Below are 23,429 nucleotides of genomic sequence, written 5' to 3' on the forward strand. Positions count from 1 at the left end.
GCCTGCCCCTGCCCCTGCTATCCTTCTGGGGTTCCCCGGGGGCTGGACCCCAAGGAAGCTGGCAGGACAGGAGCCTGTGAGAGCTACACCCTGCAGCTAAGCCACAGACAACAGATGGCAGACAACAGAGCCTGGGGGTGGGAGGACAGGCTGGTCACACCGTGGACCACAAGGTCAGGAGCCATGAGAGGCTAGGGGCCTGTGGGCTGGACCTGGGGAAATAAGCATCCCCTTCGCAAGTCTCAAGCGATGCCCTCGGATGGGCCCCAGCTTTGCTCTGCATCCGAATCCTGAGAGGAACCTGCAAAAAATACAGACATCCAGGCCCCACCCAGCAGCATCTGAATAAGACACTGAGTGGGGGAGGGGAGGGGGCGGTGGAGGGAGGCTGAAGGTGGATGCTTACTGCTGCACCCGCTTCCTCCCCCACTGTCTTCCTAGTAGCTCCTTTCCTGGGAGAACGACGTCCTGTCCTCACAGCATATCTGGAGACTCAGTGTCTGACTCAACACGACCATGCCCTTGACTCTGAGTGGAATACATGGGTCGCTTGTCTGGAATCCATGTGTGCCCGGTATCCCATGAGCTTGGCACTAGAATTAGCTTTTGGAGAGAGACTGGCAACTGCAGTCTCTTTTGGTTCCTCAGTAAACTGGAGGGACCTGAACTTTGCCCAGGCAGGCTTGACGTTCTGTTTATTCCACATATCATTGCTTCTGCGAGGACCTTCTCAAAACATAGGTGGTGTCTATTGCCCTCAAAGATGAAGAATCATCATAACCAAAAATGTGATATGTCCACAGTGGATGAATTAGCATAATAGTGAAGTGTTTGACTGTCCAGGGCTGCATTTAGATGAAGACTGAACTCACGCTGTCCACCTTGCTCACGAGTTGACATATACTTCCATATGGCACAGTTCAGGAAGAGATTGAACTCGGCTAAGCCATCCTTTTGTGACTTTGTATTTGACGATCCTAACTGGAGGAGGAAGCAGGAGTGAGAAGGAGGAACTGGAGTGAGAAGCAGGAGCTCCTAACAATGCAGGAGACACAGGCACCATGCGGAGAAACGCCCAGCGGCCCTTCATGACCCAGAGCCGGGGAGCTGGGTGCGGGCAGAGGCCGCTGCACATTCACCACGCTCACGCCACGTGCCGGCCTCAGGCTTGACAAGCTCAGGCCTTTGGTTAAAGCCTTTCTAGCACATCAATATACTTTTCATTCACAACCTATGCTGAAGTAAAGTGCACTCTACGTGGACAATATTCACAGCAATTTTAGAGACAGGTCTTATCCTCCCTATATCACTCCCAGTCATTGGTCCCACCTCTAAGAGGAAGACAAGTCTCTTAATAGTCAACAGACAGCTTCCAAAGTTTGTCTCTCTCCTCTAAGTATCACTGGATCTTCTTTTGTTCACAAGGATGCAGAACAATGTTCCAAGTACTGTTACGTTTCTAAACTTTAAGATTGTTCATTTTTAAGAAACAAATAACTATAACCACATAATTATGTATAACCAATAACTATAACCTTGATAATCTTTCAACATACTCCAAAAGGAAACTTTGAGTCCATTTTACATTCAGCAAGTTAATATTAAACTATGTGGCACATCAAAAGCTTTAAATTAATAATGTGTGTTTTAAATGTTACAAACCGTGTCAAGTGTACATCTAATATATGAACTAACAACTTAAAATACTACTGTTGAGTCGGCTATGAGTTCCTTGTAGTTAAATAAGTTATTACAAAGAGTATTGTTATAAAAGGTATGTGCTATGCCAAGCAATAACAAGATGTAGATGTGGTCACAAGCTAGCTATAGTAAAATGAAAAGAAAAAAACTCTGCTTGAGACCTCTTTTGTGTCATGATTTACCATAATTTTGAAGCAAAGTGTTTACAGCTGCTATTAAAATTAAAATTGAAGGGGAGAAACAAAGCACCCTGAAATTTGAATGAAAATTAAAAAGAAAAAAGTATATGAGCTGTCACACAGTATTTGTGTTTTCCTAGGATGCTAGATGTTACTACAAACTAAATCTCAAAAATATTTAAATAGTCTGAAAAATAAAGATCTATATAGACTACACTTTTGGAAAACTTCAGAACATTATCGAGAATTTAGTAAAGTGTTCTTTTTATTATAACACTGATTCAACTATGTGATCAAATCACTCATTAGTCTTCTAGGTAGTCTTTAAGAAAAGGAGTATGATGGAATGTTCTATCTTCTTAAGTCAAATCTACACAAGGATATTAAATCACATTAGAGTTTTGTTTTTTTTTAAATAGAGATGGGGTTTCCCTCTGTTGCCCAGGCTGGAGTGTAGTGGTGAGATGACAGCTCCCTGAAACTTCGACCTCCCTGGCTCAAGCCATCCTCCCGCCTCAGCCTCCTGAGTAGCTGACTATAGGCTCACATCACGCTGGGTTCACTTTACATTTTTTTTTTTTTTTTTGAGACAGAGTCTTGCTCTGTCACCCAGGCTGGAGTGCAGTGGTGCAATCTCGGCTCACTGTAACCTCTACCTCCGGGTTCAAGCCATTCTTCCTGCCTCAGCCTCCTATGTAGCTGGGGTTACAGGTGCCTGTACCATGCCCTGCTAATTTTTGTATTTTAGTAGAGACAGGGTTTCCCCATGTTGGCCAGACTGGTCTCAAACTCCTGACCTCAGGTGATCCGCCCACCTTGGCCTCCCAAAGGTGGCCAAGGCATGAGCCACCATGCCCGGCCCACTTTACTTTTCGTAGACATAGGGCCTCGCTATGTTTCCCAGGCTGGTCTCAAACTCCTGGCCTCAAGCAATCTGCCTACCTTGGCCTCCCAAAATGTTCGGACAGATGTGAGCCACCACACCTAGCCTAGAAATGTCTTACTTGCAGAAAGGTTCTAAAATGGCTAATTAAAGATTTTGGCATACTTAAATTAGTCCAAAAGATGAAACCTATTCTTTCAAATCAATGGATTGATGTGAGTAAGCATCACCAACCAAACAAGGAAACAACACAGATGGTGAAGCTCAGGTAACTTTTTCTTCACCTGTCCTTGTTGGATCAGCTGCTAGACGCTGATGACAAGCTCTATCATTTTACAAACTTCATGATTGTCAACTACAAGCTACAACAATTAAATATTCCTGGGGCTAGACACAGGGGCTCGTGCCTGTATTCCCAACACTTTGGGAGGCTGAGGAAGGCGGATCACTTGAGGTCAGGAGATTGAAACTAGCCTGACCAACATGGTGAAACCCCGTCTCTATTAAAAAATACAGAAAAAAGTAGCCAAGTGTGGTGGCAGATGCCTGTAGTCCCAGCTACTTGGGAGGCTGAGGTAGGAGAACTGCTTGAACCCGGGAAACAGAGGTTGCAGTGAGCTGAGATTTCGCCACTGTACTCCAGCCTGGGCGACAGAGCAAGACTCTGTCTGAAAAAAAAAAAATTCCCCAAATTTTGTTTTTACCTTCACTGTTTAATTTGAGTACAGGATAGTGTAATGTTGGTCCTCTTAATCACCCATTTTGCTAATATAATGTATAAGATATGTTCTACAATAAAACTTTACAGCTGCTAATATAAATAGCAGTATTCAGTTTATTCCAATTCTGAAATTAGTTCACCAAGGAAAAAAAAAGAATCAGGTACCATGTAAAGAATAACTGAAAATCCAGAAATACCATATTCCCAGATATTATCTTACCACTAATCATGATTTCGTATTTTATGCTATTAATTGAATAAATTCTGCTATTAGAATTTTGGAATTAAAAAAGCTTTTATTATTCTGATACCATCAGTTAGTTGTTTGCCAACTACTTTTTCTTAAAGGTCAGTGAATTGTGAAAGGCATATGTCACAGAAAATATAAGACACCTTGTGTTGCACTTTAAAAATCAAATTTTGGAGTTGGAATTATACTATTTAACTACTTTCTATGCTAGGTAATGTCACAAACTACTTTAAAATAGTTACATATAACATATAAATATTCATGAAACACAGGTTATATGTATAACTAACACCCATGGGTGTGGAAAAATACCATTCACTCCCAGTGTCTTATGCAATAAAAGAAATGTTTACTAACCCATTTACAAGGGCACATTTGCATTCTTTTCGCTATTGGCTCAGCCTCTGTTTAATGAATGTCCACAATCACTAAGTGATACCGTGGCAAACTCTACTCTTCCGAGATGGCTAAGAGACAGCTAATGATCATCACATTTTGTGAATAATTCCAAAGACCATAAAAAATGTACGTTGTAGGAAAATATAACTTTCAGCAAAAGCCACTTTTTCTGATGCTGCCGACCTGTGTATCAGGTGTTCTTGGAGGTGCAGCTATTTAGACACGACACCCTCCCTTCAGATGATGTAATCTTAAGGAATTTAGCAATTATGTGATTTACTAACATAAGACAGTATTTACTGACACGACCAGACAAACTGAAAAGGTCTTCTCACCTACTCCTGGAGTCTTCCCAGAATCCAGACACCCAGTGTAAGAAAACAGGTGTTGAAAGCTCTGCTGTCACTTCAAAGAGAATAATCACAACAATAAATGCAAAAGATAATGTACTAGAAACTGTGAAAATCTTAACCTAAGGTATGAAAATGTTCAAATAAAAATACTACTGCATGCTAAGCACACAGCAACAAAAAGAAGCACTGCAGAAATGGTTGTGAAGCTTTATGAGAGTAAAAACAAATGAAGAGGGGAAAACACAACAACCATTGAGAAATAAGGACAAAGAAGGCATTGAGGGAAAGAAGCACAGAAAAAAAGATTATCCCTGAAAGAAAATCTGTTGACTAAAAAAATCTGTTCTAAATACTTAATTTAAAAATGTCTATTCTAGGCCAGGTGCGGTGGCTCACGCCTGTAATCCCAGCACTTTGGGAGGCCAAAGCGGGCAGATCATGAGGTCAGGAGATCGAGACCATCCTGGCTAACATGGTGAAACCCCGCCTCTACTAAAAATACAAAAAAATTAGCTGGGCGTGGTGGCGGGCCCCTGTAGTCCCAGCTACTTGGGAGGCTGAGGCAGGAGAATGGCATGAACCCAGGAGGCGGAGCTTGCAGTGAGCTGAGATCGCACCACTGCACTCCAGTCTGGGTGACAGAGTGAGACTCCATCTCAAAAAAAAAAAAGAAAAATTTCTATTCTAACACACTGTCATTTGGGAGGCCTACAAAAACATTTCCTTAAAAAATTACCATGACTTCAACTATATTTTTAAAAAGCCTTGACACTTGGAAAAGACTATGATAATAACTAGAATAACTTGTCTCACTATTTACTTAGAAATATTCTATTTAAAAGTCGACCAACAATAGGAACTTTGCAATTGCACAACAGAGAAAGTAAATGAATAACACTCAGTGGCCATGGCGTGTTTCCCCATCTACTAGAACATTCTGTGACTTACACCATCTACCCTGAACCATTCACCACGTCTCCATTCACGCAGTGATTCAAATAGAGTTCCTGTGTTCATTCCACAATAAACCTCAGTAATTCGCACATCACAGTACTTGTAACCATTTGTTAACAGAAAGAGAACGAGTCTTCATATATGAGTTTCTTGTAGACACAGATAGCTGGGTCTTGATTCGATCCAACAGCCTCTTTCTTTTAATTTGCATATGTACATCACTGATGTTTAATTATTGATATATGTGGATTAAGAGCTACTTACTATATTTGTTACTGTTTTCCATTCTTTCTCCATGTCTTCCATTCTTTTTCTTCTTTCTCTTGTTTCAGTTGAGCACTTTATATGATTTGTTTTTTCTCTTTTCAGGGGGGCACAGGTTCTATAGTCCAATTATTAGGCCTGAGTCTTATAAGGAGTCTCTGGGCTGTGATCTTCAAATGTGATTCTCAGTCCCTGGCCCTGCTTAGCTGGAATGGGATAGCTATGGGGAGCTAGATTTGGGTGTTTCCTTTCCCTCAGATTAATTAGGTTCTTGTGAAACCCAGCAGGTTAGGCTCTGGTTAGGTAGTTTCTCCTGACAGAAGGCCTTGTTAAGAACAGAGTGTTCTGGCTGGGTGTGGTGGCTCACGCCTGTAATCCCAGCTACTTGGGAGGCTGAGGCAGGAGAATCGCTTGAACCTGGGAGGCGGAGCTTGCAGTAAGCCGAGATCGTGCCATTGCACTCCAGCCTGGGTGACAGAGCAAGACTCTGTCTCAAAAAAAAAGTGTTCTCTCACATTTTTAAATAATTCTCTTTTTCTTCCCCGCGCCAGAGGTACAAGGGATTTTTCTCCAATATTTACTGTGAGAATTTCGTAGAGATCTAGCAGGTAAAGTGCACAAAAGCATGTGGACCCCCACATCACCAGGCCCTCTGGAGTCTTCAATTCTCAGGTTTGTCCATGTTGAGCCTCCAACAATCTATCAATGACAGTTTAGGTTTCCTTGCACTCACATTGGTTCCTGCGGAGGTTTCTACTCATGGGCTTCTGCTCCACTATATTCAATGCATTCAACACGCTAGAACCCTTGCAGGAAACCATGAACATTGTCTCTACTTGGCAGCTGTGGACACATAAATCCAAATCACACCCCTGCACCTGCCAGAAGCAAAGGATGCCCGTGATCAAGGGTTTGACCCCAAGTCAAATGTCAGTTTCTGACCCCAAAGCCTTCAGGAACAAACACCCTCGTCTCCTCTGCCTTCATTCCTCTCAAGTCTAACATGTCTGTCTCTTCCTTATTATAATAAAAGTGGAAGCAGATTCAAGGAAATTAAGTTACTCCTAACACACAGCTTGAATCCAATATTTGATTACAGGGTGTACCCTGCATTCTTCATGGCACTTCATACTACAAGGATGGCAAAACACAAGACTCTGAGCAGGTCAAATTCCAGTGGCAGAAACAAGATGCATCTCCAGAAAACAGTAAAGATGCCATAACGGAGACAAAGACAATAAGCACTGCGAGAGGTCAGAGGGAGACCAGATGCCCAGAGCTCCAAAAAGCTGACGATAACCTTCACAGACAGGTAGGAGGTGCATACCCAGAAAAGACAGGACATGTTCGGGCAGTTCTACTCACTCCAAGTTCAGCTCATCCTAACAAAGATGATGATATGGTTTGGTTGTGTCCCCACCCAAATCTCATCTTGAATTGCAGCTCCCATAATTCCCACAGGTCATGGTAGGTATCTGGTGGGAGGTCATTGAATGTCTTTCCTGTGCTATTCTTGTGACAGTGAATAAATCTTACAAGATCTGATGGTTTTATAAAGGTAAGTTCCCCTGCACATGCTCTCTTGCCTGCTGCCATGCAAGACGTGACTTTGCTCCTCCTTTGCCATCCACCACGATTGTGACGCCTCTCCAGCCATGTGGAAACTCTGAGTCAATTAAACCTCTTTCCTTTGCAAGTTACCCAGTCTTGGGTAATGTCTTTATTAGCAGCATGAGAACAGACTAATACAGACAACTTGCCAAATTAGACGGGCAACTCGCATTCTTCTCAATCCCTCCCTGCCGGAGGAACAAGCATCTCAACTGAGACGTGCCCCAGTCACCACCCATGTTCCCAAGTCAGCACCTTGACCTGGTTTCCACATCTCCATCACTAGCACGGAACTCTTGTTGGGGTCATAAAGCTTACTTATTTTGCTTTTGTCTTACTTCTTACCTATGTTTCAGAGTTCAGAAAGAACATTTAACTAAGATGAAAACTGTATTGTACAGACACTTTGACCTTGATGACATGAGTCACATTTTACAACAAAATGCAGATGCCTTATAATTCTAGTGCATAAGGGCTTCCAAGACCATCAAGCAGTTCTCAAACTTCAGTGTGCAAAAGACTGACTGAGGTGCTTATTTAAAATGCAAATTTTGGGGCCCCAACCCAGAGATTCTGATTCAAAGGGTACTCAATATATTATCTTGTTAGAGGTTAATTTAAAACTTTGAATATTCAATTGCAACTCTTTACTTCATTTTAGAGTTTTAGCATTGCACACATAGCAAATAAACATTTATTAATTTTATACTTCTCTGCACATACAGCAAATCAACATTTATTAATTTTATACTTCTTTGCCATAAACAGGGTGTGCATCCCTGGATAGCAGTGAGCCCTTCAGTGACCTCTGCCCTGGGTCAACCGACATTCGTTCCCATTTTAAAGAGGGACAGAGGACAGAGAGGAAAGATCACCTGCTTCAGGTGACACACCAGGTAAGAACTGGCATGGAAACTAACAACTACGTCTCTTAGATTTCTTACATCAGAAATAGATGTAACATCAACCAGCCCTGGTTATCTACTCTGTGGAGTTCACACTAAGGAAAAAGAGACACTGACTTAAAGTAAAGACATTTTCTTTCTCTTTCTTTTTTTTTTAAAAAAAATATTAGTTTAAAGGGAGGGGAGGAGTACAAATTTAAGATTTCCTTGATCAGAATTTTTTTTTTTCCACAGTCGGAGTTTTGCTCCGTCACCCAGGCTGGAGTGCAGTGGCGTGATCTCGGCTCACTGCAGCCTCCAACTCCCAGGTTCAAGCGATTCTCCTGCCTCAGCCTCCAGAGTAGCTGGGATTACAGGTGAACGCCACCACGCCTGGCTAGTTTTTATATTTTTTAGTAGAGATGGGGTTTTACCATGTTGGCCAAGCTGGTCTTGAACTCCTGAACTCAAGTGATCCGCCTGCCACTGCCTCCCAAAGTGCTGGGATTACAGGCATGGGCCACCGTGCCCAGCCTCTTCGATCAGATTTTAAACAACTATATATTTGTGAACTCATTTACTCAGGGACACACAGTGTTTTTATTATTATTATTGTTTGTATTTTTTGAGATGGAGTCTCGCTCTGTCACCCAGGCCATAGTGCACTGGCGACATCTCAGCTCACTTCAACCTCTGTCTCCTGGGTTCAAGTGATCCTCCTAACTCAGCCTCCTGAGTAGCTGGGACTACAGGCACATGCCACCACGCCCGGCCAATTTTTGTATTTTTAGTACAGACGGGGTTTCGCCATGTTGGCCAGGCTGGTCTCGAACTCCCAACCTCAGGTAATCCACCTGCCTTGGCCTTCCAAAGTGCTGGGATTACAGGTATGTGCCACTGCATCCAGCCCGCACAGTGTTTAAAATATTCCTCTAAGGAAACAATTCCAGCCTGGGTCTAGGCAGCTTTCTAGGGTTTTGCTTGGGCAAACAGTGTTATTTCCAAAGTGTCCTGTAACCTGCTGAGTTTAGGAGAAGGAGTGGAAATTCAGAGCTCCCTTGATCCAGGAGCCAGAAGATTAATGTTTCGGGGGTCAGCAGGGGGTTGCTGTGACGGGTGTGAGTGGCACCACACCGGACAAATGCCCCCATGTTTTGGTCATCACACAAACCAGTTCTTGTCAAATTCCTCCCCAGAAAGTTTCCTGTGGCTCCAGGCCATGGGGCTGGGATGGTGCAGATTTTAAATCATGGAAACTTCAAGAACATACCTACTCTTCCTCTCTCCTCTCTGTCCAAGGAGCCCCCATCTGAGTACAGACTGACCGTCACCCACCTACAATAAACTACATCTCTGAGCAAAACACCAGCTGGGCTGGCAGGTCAGAAGGCAGCTTCCCCAGGTCACTACCCGCCAGGAAGCACCCAGCGACCCACGCACCACTCACTTTGTCGCCCCTCCGCTGCCCTCGTCGTTGTCGGAAGATGACGATGTAGAAGAGCCAGGGAAGTAGGCGGAATCCACGTGGTTGGGGCTGCCGCTCTGGGCCGGGTTGATGGGCAAGGACCGCTCATACAGCGGCGTGTGCTTCCCTTCGTGAGGAATGTTGCTGTAGCTGTTCTGCTCCGTCAGATTCTTCCCGCTCGTGTCCAAAGTGAGAGGTGCTGGCTCAGAGAGGCTGTACGGGTATGGACCCTGGCCCGGGGCGCCCCCTGGGCTGGGCACCTGTGGGGCCTGAAGCGAAGGGCACAGGTCACGCACACGTGGCCAGCAGGACCCGACTCAGGCCCAGGCTGACGTTTCCTGGCTCATTTTTATTTCAACAAACACTGGCATCTATTTCACGTATCAATTCAAGAGGTTAGGAACTTATTTTAGCATTCGTTGAAATTCAATGCACGCACCCTGTCTGAGACCCGCCACCCGACCCAACGCAGGGAAGGCCTTACCACGGGCTTTGCTTGCAGAGAGGTCTGCGGAATGTTGAGCATCTGAGGAGGAACATGCGGCGGCACCATCCCAGGCATTCCAAACGGACCGGGTCTGGCTGCTTCACCAACACAGAAAGAAAAGAATCACACAGCTGTGAACAGAATGCGTTTTCCAGGGCATCCTGGGGGCCAGCCCATGGCGCCAGGGATCTCACCCTCACCTGGCTCAGACATCGACACCACCATGGGTCCCACTTCTCAGAAATCATTACAAATTGCCATTTCACAGTAAGGAAAACTTAATTTTATGATGCTCCATTTGATGGACTCGGGCTGGGATTCTAACTTTCCAGATTTCTCAGTGAACTTGCCATAGTGGTTCTGCTCTCGTGTACTTCCTGAGGGCCTCGGCTGTCCCTCTGCCTGCAACTTGGTGGGGATTCTCTGTAACTCAGTCTCCCTGCTCAGGGCTGCTCCTAGCCTGAGGTCTCCTTGAAACCAGAAGCCCTGGCAGGCATGAAAGGAACAAAGTCGGACCGAACAGTTTCCTTTACCTTTGTCAAGCAAGAGGACTTTTCTATTTAAAGTACATTGCAACTACCATTAGGTTCTCAGCTAACTAGTGAGTTTTTAAATTTAAAAGGAATTGTTTTTCATTGTTCAGCAATTAGGTTACACACTTTAACACGTATTACAAGACGAGTAATTTGTGATTCTGTGTTCTCTTAAAACATAATTTCATAAACCTGCCTGATGTGTGCTGCCATGTGCTAGTCATCATTCCCACACTACGTTGCAAATTGAAGAAATCTGTTAGGGGAGTGAAAGCCATGTGGAGGAACTGAAGCAGGACAGCAGGACGAGGAGCCGGGCCAGCCTGAAGCTGGGACAGAAGGCAGGGGCTGGAAGCCTCCACATTCAACACTGCATCTGGCCTTGAGGGATCTAAGGACAGGAAGAGAGCTCAGGGGCCATGTCAGCCAAAAGAAGTGAATGAGTGAGTAGATGGTGCCCATAAAGGGCTGTTCCAGAGACAGCACAAGACCCGCAGTAACAAGGACCGAATGGGGCCCAAACGTCAACAGCACTTCCAGACACCACCAGCAGGAAACAGGAGGACATGGGACACAGACCCCTAGGAGCTGCACTCCCTCTCAGAACACTTAGGTGCTGAGTGCCGATGATGTGTCAGGCTGAGAACTGGACTGGAGGATGCCAGGAGCCCTAAGGCGGTGTCGGTAAGACACATACTACTGAAGACACAGAGAAAATACAAAACCTGAGTGAGACACAACAGATCCACCAGGGGCTTGCACGGCTGCACCATCTCTTCCTTGGGTTTGTTTTAAATGTTGAAGAAAACCAAGCCTAGAGCTTCCTGACTCCAATTTCCCTCTTTAAGCAGTAGATATGCTTCTACAACCTCTTCATCTGAACACCAGGTGATATGGTTAGGCTTCATGTCCCCACCCAAATCTCATCTTTAATTATAAACTTCATAGTCCCCATAATCCCCATGTGTCAGGGAGACACCAGGTGGAGGTAACTGGATCATGGGAGTCGTTTCCTCATGCTGTTCTTGTGATAGTGAGTGAGTTCTCACAAGATCTGATGGTTTTATAAGGGGCTCTTTCCCCTTTGCTCGGCACTTCTCCTTTGTGCCACCTTGTTAAGAAAGTGCCTTGCTTCTCCTTTGCTTTTGCCAGGATTATAAGTTTACTGAGGCCTCCCCAGCTATGCTGAACTGTGAGTCAACTAAACCTCTTTCCTTTATAAATTACACAGTCCCAGGAAAGCTTCTTTATACTAGTATGAAAATGGACTAATACAATAAATAGGTACTGAAAAGAGTGGGGTGCAGCTATAAAGATACCTGAAAATGGGAAGCAACTTTGGAACTGGGTAACAGGCACACGTTGGAACTGTTTGGAGGTCTCAGAAGAAGACAGGAAGATGTAGGAAACTTTGGAACTTCCTAGATTCTTGTTGAAAGACTTTGACCAAAATGCTGATAGTGATATGGACAATGAAGTCCAGGATGAGGTGATCTCAGATGGCGATGAAGAACTTGTTGGGAACTGGAGCAAAGGTGATTCTTGCTATGCTTCAGCAAAGAGACTGGTGGCATTTTGCCCCTGCCCTAGAGATCTGTGGAACTTTGAACTTGAGAGAGATGATTTAGAGTATCAGGTGGAAGAAATTTCTAAGCAGCAAAGCGTTCAAGAAGTGACTTGGGTGCTCTTAAAAGCATTCAGTTTTATGCATTCACAGAGATGATTTGGAATTGGAACTAATGTTTAAAAGAAAAGCAAGCATAAAGGTCTAGAAAATGTGCAGCCTGATGATGGGATAGAAAAGAAAAACCCATTTTCTGAGGAGAAATTCAAGCTGGCTGCAGAAGTTTGCATAAGTAATGAGGAGCCAAATGTTAATAGCCAAGACAATGGGGAAAATGTCTCCAGGGCATGTCAGAGGTCTTCAAGGCAGCTCCTCCCATCACAAGCCCTGAGGCCTAGGAGGAAAAAATGGTTTTATGGGCCGGGCCCAGGGCCTTGCTGCTTTTTGCAGTCTTGGGACTTGGTGTGTTGCATCTCAGCTGTGGTTAAAAAAGGACAATGTACAGCTCAGGCCTCAGGCCATTGCTTTACAGTGTGAAAGCCCCAAGCCTTGGTGGCTTCTACATGGTATTGGGCCTGCAGGTGCACAGAAGTCAAAAACTGAGGTTTGGGAACTCCACCTAGACTTCAGAGGATGTATGGAAATGCATGGATGTCTAGGCAGAAGTTTGCTGCAGGAGTGGAGCCCTCACGGAGAACCTCTGCTAGGGCAGTGCAGAAGGGAAATGTGGGGTCAGAGCCCCCCCAAAGAGTCCCCACTGGGGCACTGTCTAGTGCAGCTATGAGAAGAGGGCCACAGTCCTACAGACCCCCAAATGGTAGATCCACTGACTGTTTGCACCACACCCCTGGAAAAGCCACAGATACTCAACATCAGCCTGTGAAAGCAGTCGGGAGGGAGGCTGTACCCTGCAAAGCCACAGAGGTGGAGCTGACCAAGGCCATGGGAGCCCACCTCTTGTATCAGTGTGACCTGAATGTGAGACATGGAGTCAAAGGATATCATTTTGGAGTTTCAAGATTTGATGGCCCCACCGGATTTTAGAATTGCATGGGGCCTATAGCCCCTTCATTTTGGCCAATTTCTCCCATTTGGAAGGGGCATATTTACCCAATGCCTGTACCCTCATTGTATCTAGGAAGTAACTAACTTGCTTTTGATTTTACAGACACATAGGCGGAGGAGGGGGGTTGTCTTGTCTCAGATGAGACTTTGGACTTGGACTTTTGAGTTAATGCTGGAATGAATTAATACTTTGGGGGACCGTTGAGAAGGCATGATTGGTTTTGAAATATGAAAGGGACATGAGATTTGGGAGAGGCTGGGGCAGAATGATATGGTTAAGCTTTGTTTCCCCACCCAAATCTCATCTTGAAATTAATGCCTATAATCCCCACGTGTCAAGGCAGAGATGAGGTGGAGGTAATTCGATCATGGGGGCAGTTTCCCCCATGCTGTTCTCATGATAGGGAGTGAGTTCTCATAAAATCTGATGGTTTTATAAGGGGCTGTTCCCCTTTCACTTGGAACTTCTTACTGCTGCCTTGTGAAGAAGGTGCCTTGCTTCCCCTTTGCCTTCTGCCATGATTGTTACGTTTCCTGAGGCCTCGCCAGCCATGCTGAACTGTGAGTCAATTAAAACTCTTTCCTTTATAAATTACCCAGTCTCAGGCAGTTCTTTATAGCAGTATGAAAACAGACAAATACACTAGGGACGGGGAACACAACCCACGAACCACCACCTTTCACACTGCCTATCTGCCAAAATAGGTGAGGACAGAAACATTCCCCAAACCTTTGCTCCTGCTCCCTGAAAGCAAACATCCATGGCTGCACTCACAAGAGGCTCCCTAAGCCGATACTAGGGGTGGTGAGACCAGGAGTGCAAACTTTGTCCTGGGCCCAGCCTCCTGAGAGCCAAGCATGGCCCACGGAGGCTAGGAGTGAGGTACAGATCATTGTTGACTGCCCCCAGAGAAGGACCAGGAATCTTACAGACTATGATCCTGTGTGAAGTTCCCACCTTCTAAGGGCTTTCAGCTTACAAGCTCTAAAACACCATAGCCCTTTGATCCTGGCTCGCACCAAGAAAAAACCTTGGCAGAGCTTCCAGCTTTGTACTAAACAAAGAAAACTGCAGTATGAGAAGCTAGGAATAATGAGACCAGCATGTTTGTAGTCACAGACACCTCACACTTGCACGCAACATGCACACAGACACACGTGCACACATGTCCCTGACTGAACAATAAGTCCACAGATCCATGCCTCTAAGGGATGTGTGTGCACAAGCAAGCACTCACTCATGCACAGGAGCAGATACACACAGGAGTGCACACAAACACACCCCCACCCTTGCATGCACGGCACACACACACATACACACACAGGCATGCATGCCACACACACATGCATGGCACAGACCACACAAGGAGGTGTTCCTAATCAAAGAGTACGTCACCTAGATCTGCACTTCTAAGTATGCGATCGAAGTCACCATTATTTCAAAAACTCATTCACAGGTGATTCTGAATCATAGCCAGATTTGGTCCAGAGAATATTACAAAGTCGATTCAAGCTCTAACAGTATAATTTAAATCAATGTAAAATGTCTAGTGTATAATGTCTTGTGAGTATCCTCACATACCTAACTTTGTTTTGAGAAGGAGTCTCACTCTGTTGCCCAGGCTGGAGTGCAATGGCATGACCTCAGCTCACTGCAACCTCCACCCCCCGGGTTCAAGGGAGTCTCCTGTCTCAGCCTCCCGAGTAGCTGGGACTACAGCCATGCACCACCACTTAGCTATTTGTTTTTTTATTTTTAGTAGAGATGGGGTTTCACCATGTTGGCCAGGCTGGTGTCGAACTCCTGACGTCAAGCGATCTGCCCACCTCGGCCCCCAAAGTGCTGGGATTACTGGCATGAGCCACATGCCCAGCCCTAACTTTGTAATAGTAAAAATGCAAGGCTAGTCTCATGCAGCAGCAGCATTCAAGTGCAGACGATCATTTTTGTTTTTCTATTTTTGGCCATTACATCCTAAAACCTTCCTTGAAAGCACCAATTTTCCTCTAAAGCAAACAAACAAACAAACAAACAAACTACATTACAGCATAAAACCAAAGAATTCCAGGGAAAGAATATTTTCTAAAATCACATTCCAATCATTGACCTCAAATAATCCTCTGTGAATCCACAGAGCAAGTCACTATTCTATTAAAGCAGTCCAATAAGTGAATTAATTTGTCTGCATTTTCTGAAGGCTGCAGAAGTGCCTCCTAACCCAGGGTCTGCCTCTGCGGATTCAGGCCTTCGTCTATATCGGTTCTTGTTCTCCATGCCCAAGTGCAGCTGAGCAGAACCACTGTGTGTCCTCTCTACAACAAGAGGCATCTTTCTCAGAAGGGACACGGGGCTCCAGAGTAGAGATCACACCACCAGTTTCTCACTCTCTTCCTTTCACACTTACTAGAGAGGTGGGCTTTTGTTAAAATAGTATGCAGACTGAATACAAGAAGCAAAAAGAGGAAAAAAGGCCAAAAAAAGTTTATTATATTTTGAAATATTTCATAACTTTAAAATTAGTTTTTAAATAGTAAAAAGTTCTTTCAGAATGAAGAGAAAAGAAACACGCACTGCAGTCCCTCAGCTGTGCGGTCTCAACTTTTTTTTTTTTTTTTTTTTTTGAGACAGAGTTTTGCTCTTGTTGCCCAGGCTGGAGTGCAATGGCGTGATCTTGGCTCACCACAACCTCTGCTTCCTGGGTTCAAGCGATTCTACTGCCTCAGCCTCTTGACTAGCTAGGGTTACAGGCATGCGCCACCATGCCCAGCTAACTTTTTGTATTTTTAGTAGAGATGGGGTTTCTCCATGTTGGTCAGGCTGGTCTCGAACTCCCAACCTCAGGTGATCCGCCTGCCTTGGCCTCCCAAAGTGCTGGGATTACAGGCATAAGCCACCGTACCTGGCTGCAATCTCGACTTTTTATAGCTCAGTTACCTACTTCCTCAAAAGACTCACTTATGCCTATATGCAGCTGTGTGGCCTTTGCTCTGAATTAAAATAACATATAATTCTTAAAGGAATGGTGTTAAACTGGAACCTCTTCTTAGAACTACAGTCTGCCTTACCCCAGTCCCCATTCCTAGCCCAACCTAACAAACGCTCATCCATTACTTGGCATATTATTCTGAAATGTTATGTTAAACAAAACAAAGAAGAGGACAAAGTAAGTCTTCAAAAAAAAAATACACAGGCAAAAAAAAAAAAACTGTACGGGCAGACATTGTATGATTTTCATATATTACCCAAAAAATATAGCTTTGAAAATGTTGAGCCCAAGATTAAATAAGTCAGTATAATCCCTACCACCTTTAATTTTCATTGCTTGCAAACATAGACAAGGCAAAATTTTCCAACCATTTTAAGCATGTGCAAACAGACATGCTTACTAAGTCTCAATAGTCTACAGAAGATAAAAAGGTATAGAAAGGAAACTCTCATGTGACCTGTTCCCGTTACACTACAGATCCAGTGTCCAGAGAGGCAGGGTGGGGCCTTGGAGCACAGTGGGAGGGCGCGGCGTCTGGCCATCCTGTAGGGAGAGGAGGCCCCGTAGAGCCGGTCTGGCTGGCTGAGCCTGGACTGAGACCAGGCACGAGGTCGGTGCCCAGGGAGGCAAAGGATGGAGGAGCAACTCCCAAGAGCTAAGAGCCCCGGGGCAGCTGATGCTGGCCCAAAGCCTGCGGTGTTGGCCAGACCCCAAGGGAAGAGCCAGAGGCCGGTGCCCAGAAGAGGAGGCCTGGTGACAGAAGGAGGCAAAACCTGAGGCATGATCAGCTTGAAGAAGGCTAAGTACAAGGCCCGTGAGAAGTAAGATTATGAACTCAGTGAACAGGCACATCCTGCGTGGCATGTGAAAGAATTCGGAACAGCGGGAAAAATTAAACCACGGAAGCAAATTTCAAGTCAACAGAAACAAGAACTTTCTAAGAACGAGAGCAGTTCAACAATGAAAAGGGTTGCTTTACTGACTGCTGGACTGCTCATACAAGAACATTCTACAGCAGGGAGCTGGGCTGAACTTCTATAAACATTCCTCACTCCCCAAATCCTTCCCATCCCTGAATGTGGATAGTGAGAGGGTAGACATCACGAGATACGGCATCATTCGAATCCACCCGGTGCCCGAGTCTCAAGTAGCAAGTTTTATCTAAATGTATTCAGTTCCTGGGTTTAATTAATCAGTTTGAACAGAATACTTGTACTGACTGAGCAAAGTTCAAGAAGGCAGAATAGGAACATTACATCTCATCAAGGCTGGTTACGGTGGCTCATGACTACAATCCCGACACTGGGAGGCTGAGGCAGTTCAGACCAGGCCAGGCAACACATCAAGACTGTTTCTACACACACTCACAAAAGCAACACAAAAAAACAAACAAAAATCCCAAATCCCATTTAGCCACTGAAATGTGTTTTGTAAGTCTATGATGAAATAAGATAAATTAGTTTCTGTCCATTTGTGGGTTTTGGAAAAGCACAACCTAAAAGAAAACTCTACCAGGTCTCTATTTTGAAGTCACTGGTAAACTGAACTGACATTCCTCATTTGTAACCAAATATCGAAATGCCATTAACAAATACAACATTAATAAACCTAAGTGCATCCACTTTGGGAAGACACATGCTGCAGTCTTTTAAATCAGACAATAGCTCAAAGGTGGGTGTAGGTTCTTCCAAAACATCTGATTTTTAAGTTCAAAATAAAAATGACCTTCCAAAACAGCCACACGATCAGGCAGCCTGTGTCACTTCCTACTTCACACTAACTACCACGAACTCACTGAAAATAGAGCGAAAGGTCACAGAGCAGACACTGAAAGCAAAGCCCCCAGCACCAGCAGGAGAATCCAATTTTCTACTTGGGAATTGTGGACCGGAAGGGCAAGATGAGTGGCCTTTCTACTCAACGGGAGTAATGCCCTGACTTCCCTCTGGTGCCCTTTATTCTGTCAGCCTCCGGGGCTTAACATCAACGTCATCTGCGTTAGCTTTAAAGATAAAAACTGGCCGGGCATGGTGGCTCATGCTTGTAATCCCAGCACATTGGGAGGCTGAGACGGGTGGATCACTTGAGATCAGCAGTTCGAGACCAACATGCTGAAACCTGTCTCTACTAAATATACAAAAATTAGCCAGGCGTACACGCCTGTAATCCCAGCTACTCAGGAGGCTGAGGCAGGAGAATCACTTGAACCCAGGAAGCGGAAGCTGCAGTGAGCCAAGATCGTGCCACTGCACTACAGCCTGGGCGACAGAGTGTGACTCTGTCTCAAACACAACAACAACAAAACTGATAAAGATGAACAAGGACACATCTCAAAAAGAGCAAGCACAGACTGGCATATACAATACAGCCTTTAATTAAAAAGCAAAGCAATGCTATTAATTATCCCATAGGTATGAGGTGAGAAAATATAAAAACATGTTCAAGGGAGCTGTACATGACTTAGGCCTGATGCATCTCTTTTTTATGAAAGAATGATCTCAAGCACAGGTTGCCATTTGTGTAACCTGAAGTAGGTATGCCACCACTCATTCTACTGTTCCTTCTATTTTTTGTTACATTAACAGGTTTTCCTAACAACCACACAAAAAAAAAAACTTTAGTAAAAACCTAGGAAAGGACAAGTCTAGTAAGCAAAGTTATAGAACAAAGTGAGGATTTAATGTAAAACATTTTTAAGGAATGTCAAAATTCTAAAGTTATTAGTAAAATATGGCAAAAGTATAATATTGAATACCTGGTGAAAATAAAATTCTTTTTTAATGTTATTTTTTATTTTAAGTTCTGGGGTACATGTGCAGTACGTGCAGGTTTGTTACATAGGTAAACATGCGCCATGGTGTCTTGCTGCACCTATCAACCCATCACCTAGGGATTAAGCCCAGCGTGCATTAGCTATTTTTCCTGATGCTCTCCCTTCCCTCACCTCAACCCTCGACAGGCCCCAGTGTGTCTTGTTCCCCTCCCTGTGTCCATGTTCTCATTGTTCAGCTCACACTTATAAGTTACAGCATGCAGTATTTGGTTTTCTGTTTCTGTGTTAGTTTGCTGAGGATAATGGCTTCCAGCTCCATCCATGTCCCTGCAAAGGCCATGATCTCATTCCTCTTTTTTTTTTTTTTTTAAGACAGGGTCTTGCTCTGTCGCTCAGGCTGGAGTGCACTGGCACAATCTCAGCTCACTGCAGCCTCTGCCTCCCAGGTTCAAGCGATTCTCGTGCCTCAGGCTCCCGAGTAGCTGGGATTACAGGTGTGCGCCGCCATCCAGACTAATTTTTGTATAATGTTTTCAGTAGACGGGGTTTTGCCATGTTGGCCAAGCAGGTCTTAAACTCCTGGTCTCAAGTGATCCTCCCACCTTGGCCTCCCAAAGTGTGAGCCACCATGCCTGACCTGATCTCATTCCTTGTTATGGCTGCATAATATTCCATGGTGTATATGTACCACATTGTCTTTATCCCGTCTATCGTTGATGGGCATTTGGGTTCAAAAGTCATAATAATAGCAAAAAACATATTCTTGATGCTGACAGCAGGGACATGGCTAAATATGGCACCTCCACACTGTGGAGTATCATACCATCTCTGGAGAAAATAAGGAAGTCATCACCAGCTTGTATAATGGGCCCCACTTATGGGTCATAGTCCCCAGGCTTGGTCAGTCCCCAACCCGCAAGGCCGTCCCTGCCCCCTACTGAGCCCACTCCTCTGCAGGAGGCCCCGGGGGCTCTGCTCCCGCCCACAGTAGGACTGAAGGGCCACCAAGTGGGTCCAGCCGTCCAGCTGTCAGCCAGGCCTGGCCTCGGGCAGTGTGGGCCGCCATGTGGTCTCTTTCATGTTTTCACTCCTTCTGCCCTAGAGGACCTGCGTCCTTTGGTCCTTTTGCTAGAGCACTCAGCTGTCTCAGGCTGTATGACTGCAGAAAATCGCGTTTCAAGGGAATAAATCTGTAAGATTTTATGGTGAATGAATACTTCAACCTCTTTGGATTACCGCATGGTCCATGCTGATCCCAGAGGCCTTTACTTACCCACGTAGTGTGGTGGCTGCAGTGACCGAGGCTTGCTGGTCCCAGAATAATGTCCGCTTGCTCTGTTACATCCCAGAACTGATTCTCAGGGATTGGGATCTGGAAGATGCTCGGCAGGAGGCTGCGGCCGCAGCGGCGCTGGGCTGGAGAGAAGGTGGCGGCGTGAGGGTCCGGCGGCGCTGGAGACCCGGCGGGCAGCGGCCAAAGCAGGGTCGGGCTGAGCCCAGCATGGGCTCCAGGCTGCGCGAGCGAGATACCCCGGTCCCCGCCTCCGCCTCCGCCCTAGAGCCACGGAGGGGAGGCGGCCGGCGGCCCGGGCCTCTGAGCTCCGAATCCTGCGCCTTCCCGCCGCCAACGGGCTGGGGGCCACGAGGGGCGCGGGGAGGGAACGGGAGTTTGCAAGGACGCCTGGAGATCCACTGCTTCCTCCTCTCGGCTTCAGTCTGCAGGCAGCTCTTCCCCACCAGAGCGCGTGGCTCCCCCGGCCGGGCTCGCCTCTCCCGGCGCCCGCCTCATTTGAAAACACGGCCTTTCCCACGCCCTTACCGCCGGTTCTGCCCGCACTGCGCTCCGCTCCTCGCTCCTCTGCTCGCCCTTCGCTTTCGGCGTCCCACACCATCTCCTTCCCTCGTCGGCGGCTTCCTCTTCTGCTCCCACCCTGGTCTCCCGCCTGCCTTCCAGCACCATCTCTTTCGGATGTCATTCCTCGCAGTGAAGTTCTTTATTGAAACTGCCCCTTGCTGTCAGCACCCCAAATCTACTGAGGGTCCATCAGCAGTACAGACTGGCCGGCTTTATGTGCTAGGTCGGCTCTTAAGAAATATACTTTAAGCCTAACGGCCTCAAAAAAAAAATTGTATTATCAAACATAGAGTGTGAAAATAACACTGAAATAATTTTAAACTAAAAGGCTAGGCCGGGTGCGGTGTTTCACGCATGTAATTCCAGAACTTTGGAAGACCGAGGCAGGTGGATCACTTGAGGTCAGGAATTCGAGATTAGCCTGGCCAATATGGTGAAACCCCTTCTCTACTAAAAATACAAAAATTAGTTGAGCGTGGTCCCAGCTACTCAGGAGGTTGAGGCAGGAGAATCGTTTGAACCCGGGAGGTGGAGGATGCAGTGAGCCGGGATTGCGCCACTGCACTCCAGCCTGGGAGACTGTCTCAAAAAAAAAAAAAAAAAAAAGAAAGAAAGAAAGAAAGAAAAGAAAAACAAACAGAAAAAAAAGGCTCAGCGACTGTTAGAAATCGTTATTTATTCATTTTTTTCAAAAATACATGGCCTCTCATGTCAGATTTAGCAGATGTAGGACGTTTGCCCATCTTATTTGGCAAAAATGCTTCTTAAGGATTTGATAGCGGCCCAAATTCATCAGTGTTTAAGTTTTTCTAAAACTAATTTGAAAACTTAAAAAAAAAGAAGAAACATTATATGAATAACTAGGAAGCTGTTTCGACAGTCACTGTTAAAGAGCTTTTAAAATGGGCTCCACATGTTAATGTATGAAAAGCGTCAGGCCTCTGAGCCCAAGTCAAGCCATCGCATCCCCTGTGACTTGCACGTATACACCCAGATGGCCTGAAGTAACTGAAGAATCACAAAAGAAGTGAATATGCCCTGCCCCACCTTAACTGATGACATTCCACCACAAAAGATGTGTAAATGGCCGGTCCTTGCCTTAAGTGATGACATTACCTTGTGAAAGTCCTTTTCCTGGCTCATCCTGGCTCAAAAAGCACCCCCCACTGAGCACCTTGGGACCCCCACTCCTGCCCGCCAGAGAACAAACCCCCTTTGACTGTAATTTTCCTTTACCTACCCAAATCCTATAAAACAGCCCCACCCTTATCTCCCTTTGCTGACTCTCTTTTCGGACTCAGCCCACCTGCACCCAGGTGAAATAAACAGCCATGTTGCTCACACAAAGCCTGTTTGGTGGTCTCTTCACACAGAAGCGCATGAAATTTGGTGCCATGACTCGGATCGGGGGACCTCCCTTAGGAGATCAATCCCCTGTCCTCCTGTTCTTTGCTCCGTGAGAAAGATCCACCTACTACCTCAGGTCCTCAGACCGACCAGCCCAAGAAACATCTCACCAATTTCAAATCCGGTAAGCGGCCTCTTTTTACTCTCTTCTCCAACCTCCCTCACTATCCCTCAACCTCTTTCTCCTTTCAATCTTGGCACCACACTTCAATCTCTCCCTTCTCTTAATTTCAATTCCTTTCATTTTCTGGTAGAGACAAAGGAGACAAGTTTTATCCGTGGACCCAAAACTCCAGCGCCGGTCACGGACTGGGAAGGCAGCCTTCCCTTAGTGTTTAATCATTGCAGGGACACCTCTCTGATTATACACTAACGTTTCAAGGGTGTCAGACCACGTAGGGACGCCTACCTTGGTCCTTCACCCTTAGCGGCAAGTCCCGCTTTTCTGGGAGAGGGGCAAGTACCCCTCCACCCCTTCTCCTTCACTCTTAGCGGCAAGTCCCACTTTTCTAGAGGAGGGGCAAGTACCCCAACCTCGTATCTCTGCGCCCCAATCCCTTATTTCCACGTCCCGACCTCTTATCTCTGCGCCCCAATCCCTTATTTCTGTACCCCGACCCCTTATTTCCATGCCCCGACCCCTTATTTCTGCACCCCATCCCTTATTTCCGTGCCCCGACCTCTTATCTCTGCGCCCCAACCCCTTTTCCCACTTTTCTGGAAGGTAAGAACCCCCGAACCCCTTCCCTCCGTTTCTCTACTCTCTCTTTTCTCTAGGCTTGGTTCCTTCACTATGGGCAACCTTCCACCCTCCATTCGTCCTTCTACTCCCTTGGCCTGTGTTCTCAAAAACTTAAAACCTCTTAAACTCACACCTGACCTAAAACCTAAATGCCTTATTTTCTTCTGCAATGCCGCTTGACCCCAATACAAACTCGACAATAGTTCCAAATAGCCAGAAAATGGCACTTTGAATTTTTCCATCCTGCAAGATCTAAATAATTCTTGTCGTAAAATAGGCAAACGGTCTGAGGTGCCTGACGTCCAGGCATTCTTTTACACGTCAGTCCCTTCCTAGTCTCTGTGCCCAGTGC

At 45.7% G+C, this 23,429-nt stretch overlaps 1 pseudogene across 1 annotated transcript, besides 3 other annotated features; it reads right to left on the reverse strand.

Moving 5' to 3' along the window:
- Positions 622-1,123: an enhancer, noted in NCBI's record as "H3K4me1 hESC enhancer chr9:96088631-96089132 (GRCh37/hg19 assembly coordinates)". NCBI's record gives its function as "activates a minimal SCP1, AML or CMV promoter by ChIP-STARR-seq in primed H9 embryonic stem cells {active_cell/tissue: H9 hESC(primed)}" and the evidence as "EXISTENCE:reporter gene assay evidence [ECO:0000049][PMID:30033119]".
- Positions 1,124-1,623: an enhancer, noted in NCBI's record as "H3K4me1 hESC enhancer chr9:96089133-96089632 (GRCh37/hg19 assembly coordinates)". NCBI's record gives its function as "activates a minimal SCP1, AML or CMV promoter by ChIP-STARR-seq in primed H9 embryonic stem cells {active_cell/tissue: H9 hESC(primed)}" and the evidence as "EXISTENCE:reporter gene assay evidence [ECO:0000049][PMID:30033119]".
- On the reverse strand, positions 3,761-20,576 carry FAM120A2P (family with sequence similarity 120A2, pseudogene; annotated as a pseudogene). Its single transcript, NR_166069.1, has 3 exons — positions 20,347-20,576; positions 10,149-10,249; positions 3,761-9,933 (listed from the first exon to the last, which is right to left on the reverse strand). The product of NR_166069.1 is annotated as a family with sequence similarity 120A2, pseudogene (transcript).
- Positions 21,673-22,619: an enhancer, noted in NCBI's record as "OCT4-NANOG-H3K27ac hESC enhancer chr9:96109682-96110628 (GRCh37/hg19 assembly coordinates)". NCBI's record gives its function as "activates a minimal SCP1, AML or CMV promoter by ChIP-STARR-seq in primed H9 embryonic stem cells {active_cell/tissue: H9 hESC(primed)}" and the evidence as "EXISTENCE:reporter gene assay evidence [ECO:0000049][PMID:30033119]".

The sequence above is a fragment of the Homo sapiens genome, chromosome 9 (assembly GCF_000001405.40).
Source record: "Homo sapiens chromosome 9, GRCh38.p14 Primary Assembly".
NCBI classification, from domain to species: domain Eukaryota; kingdom Metazoa; phylum Chordata; class Mammalia; order Primates; family Hominidae; genus Homo; species Homo sapiens.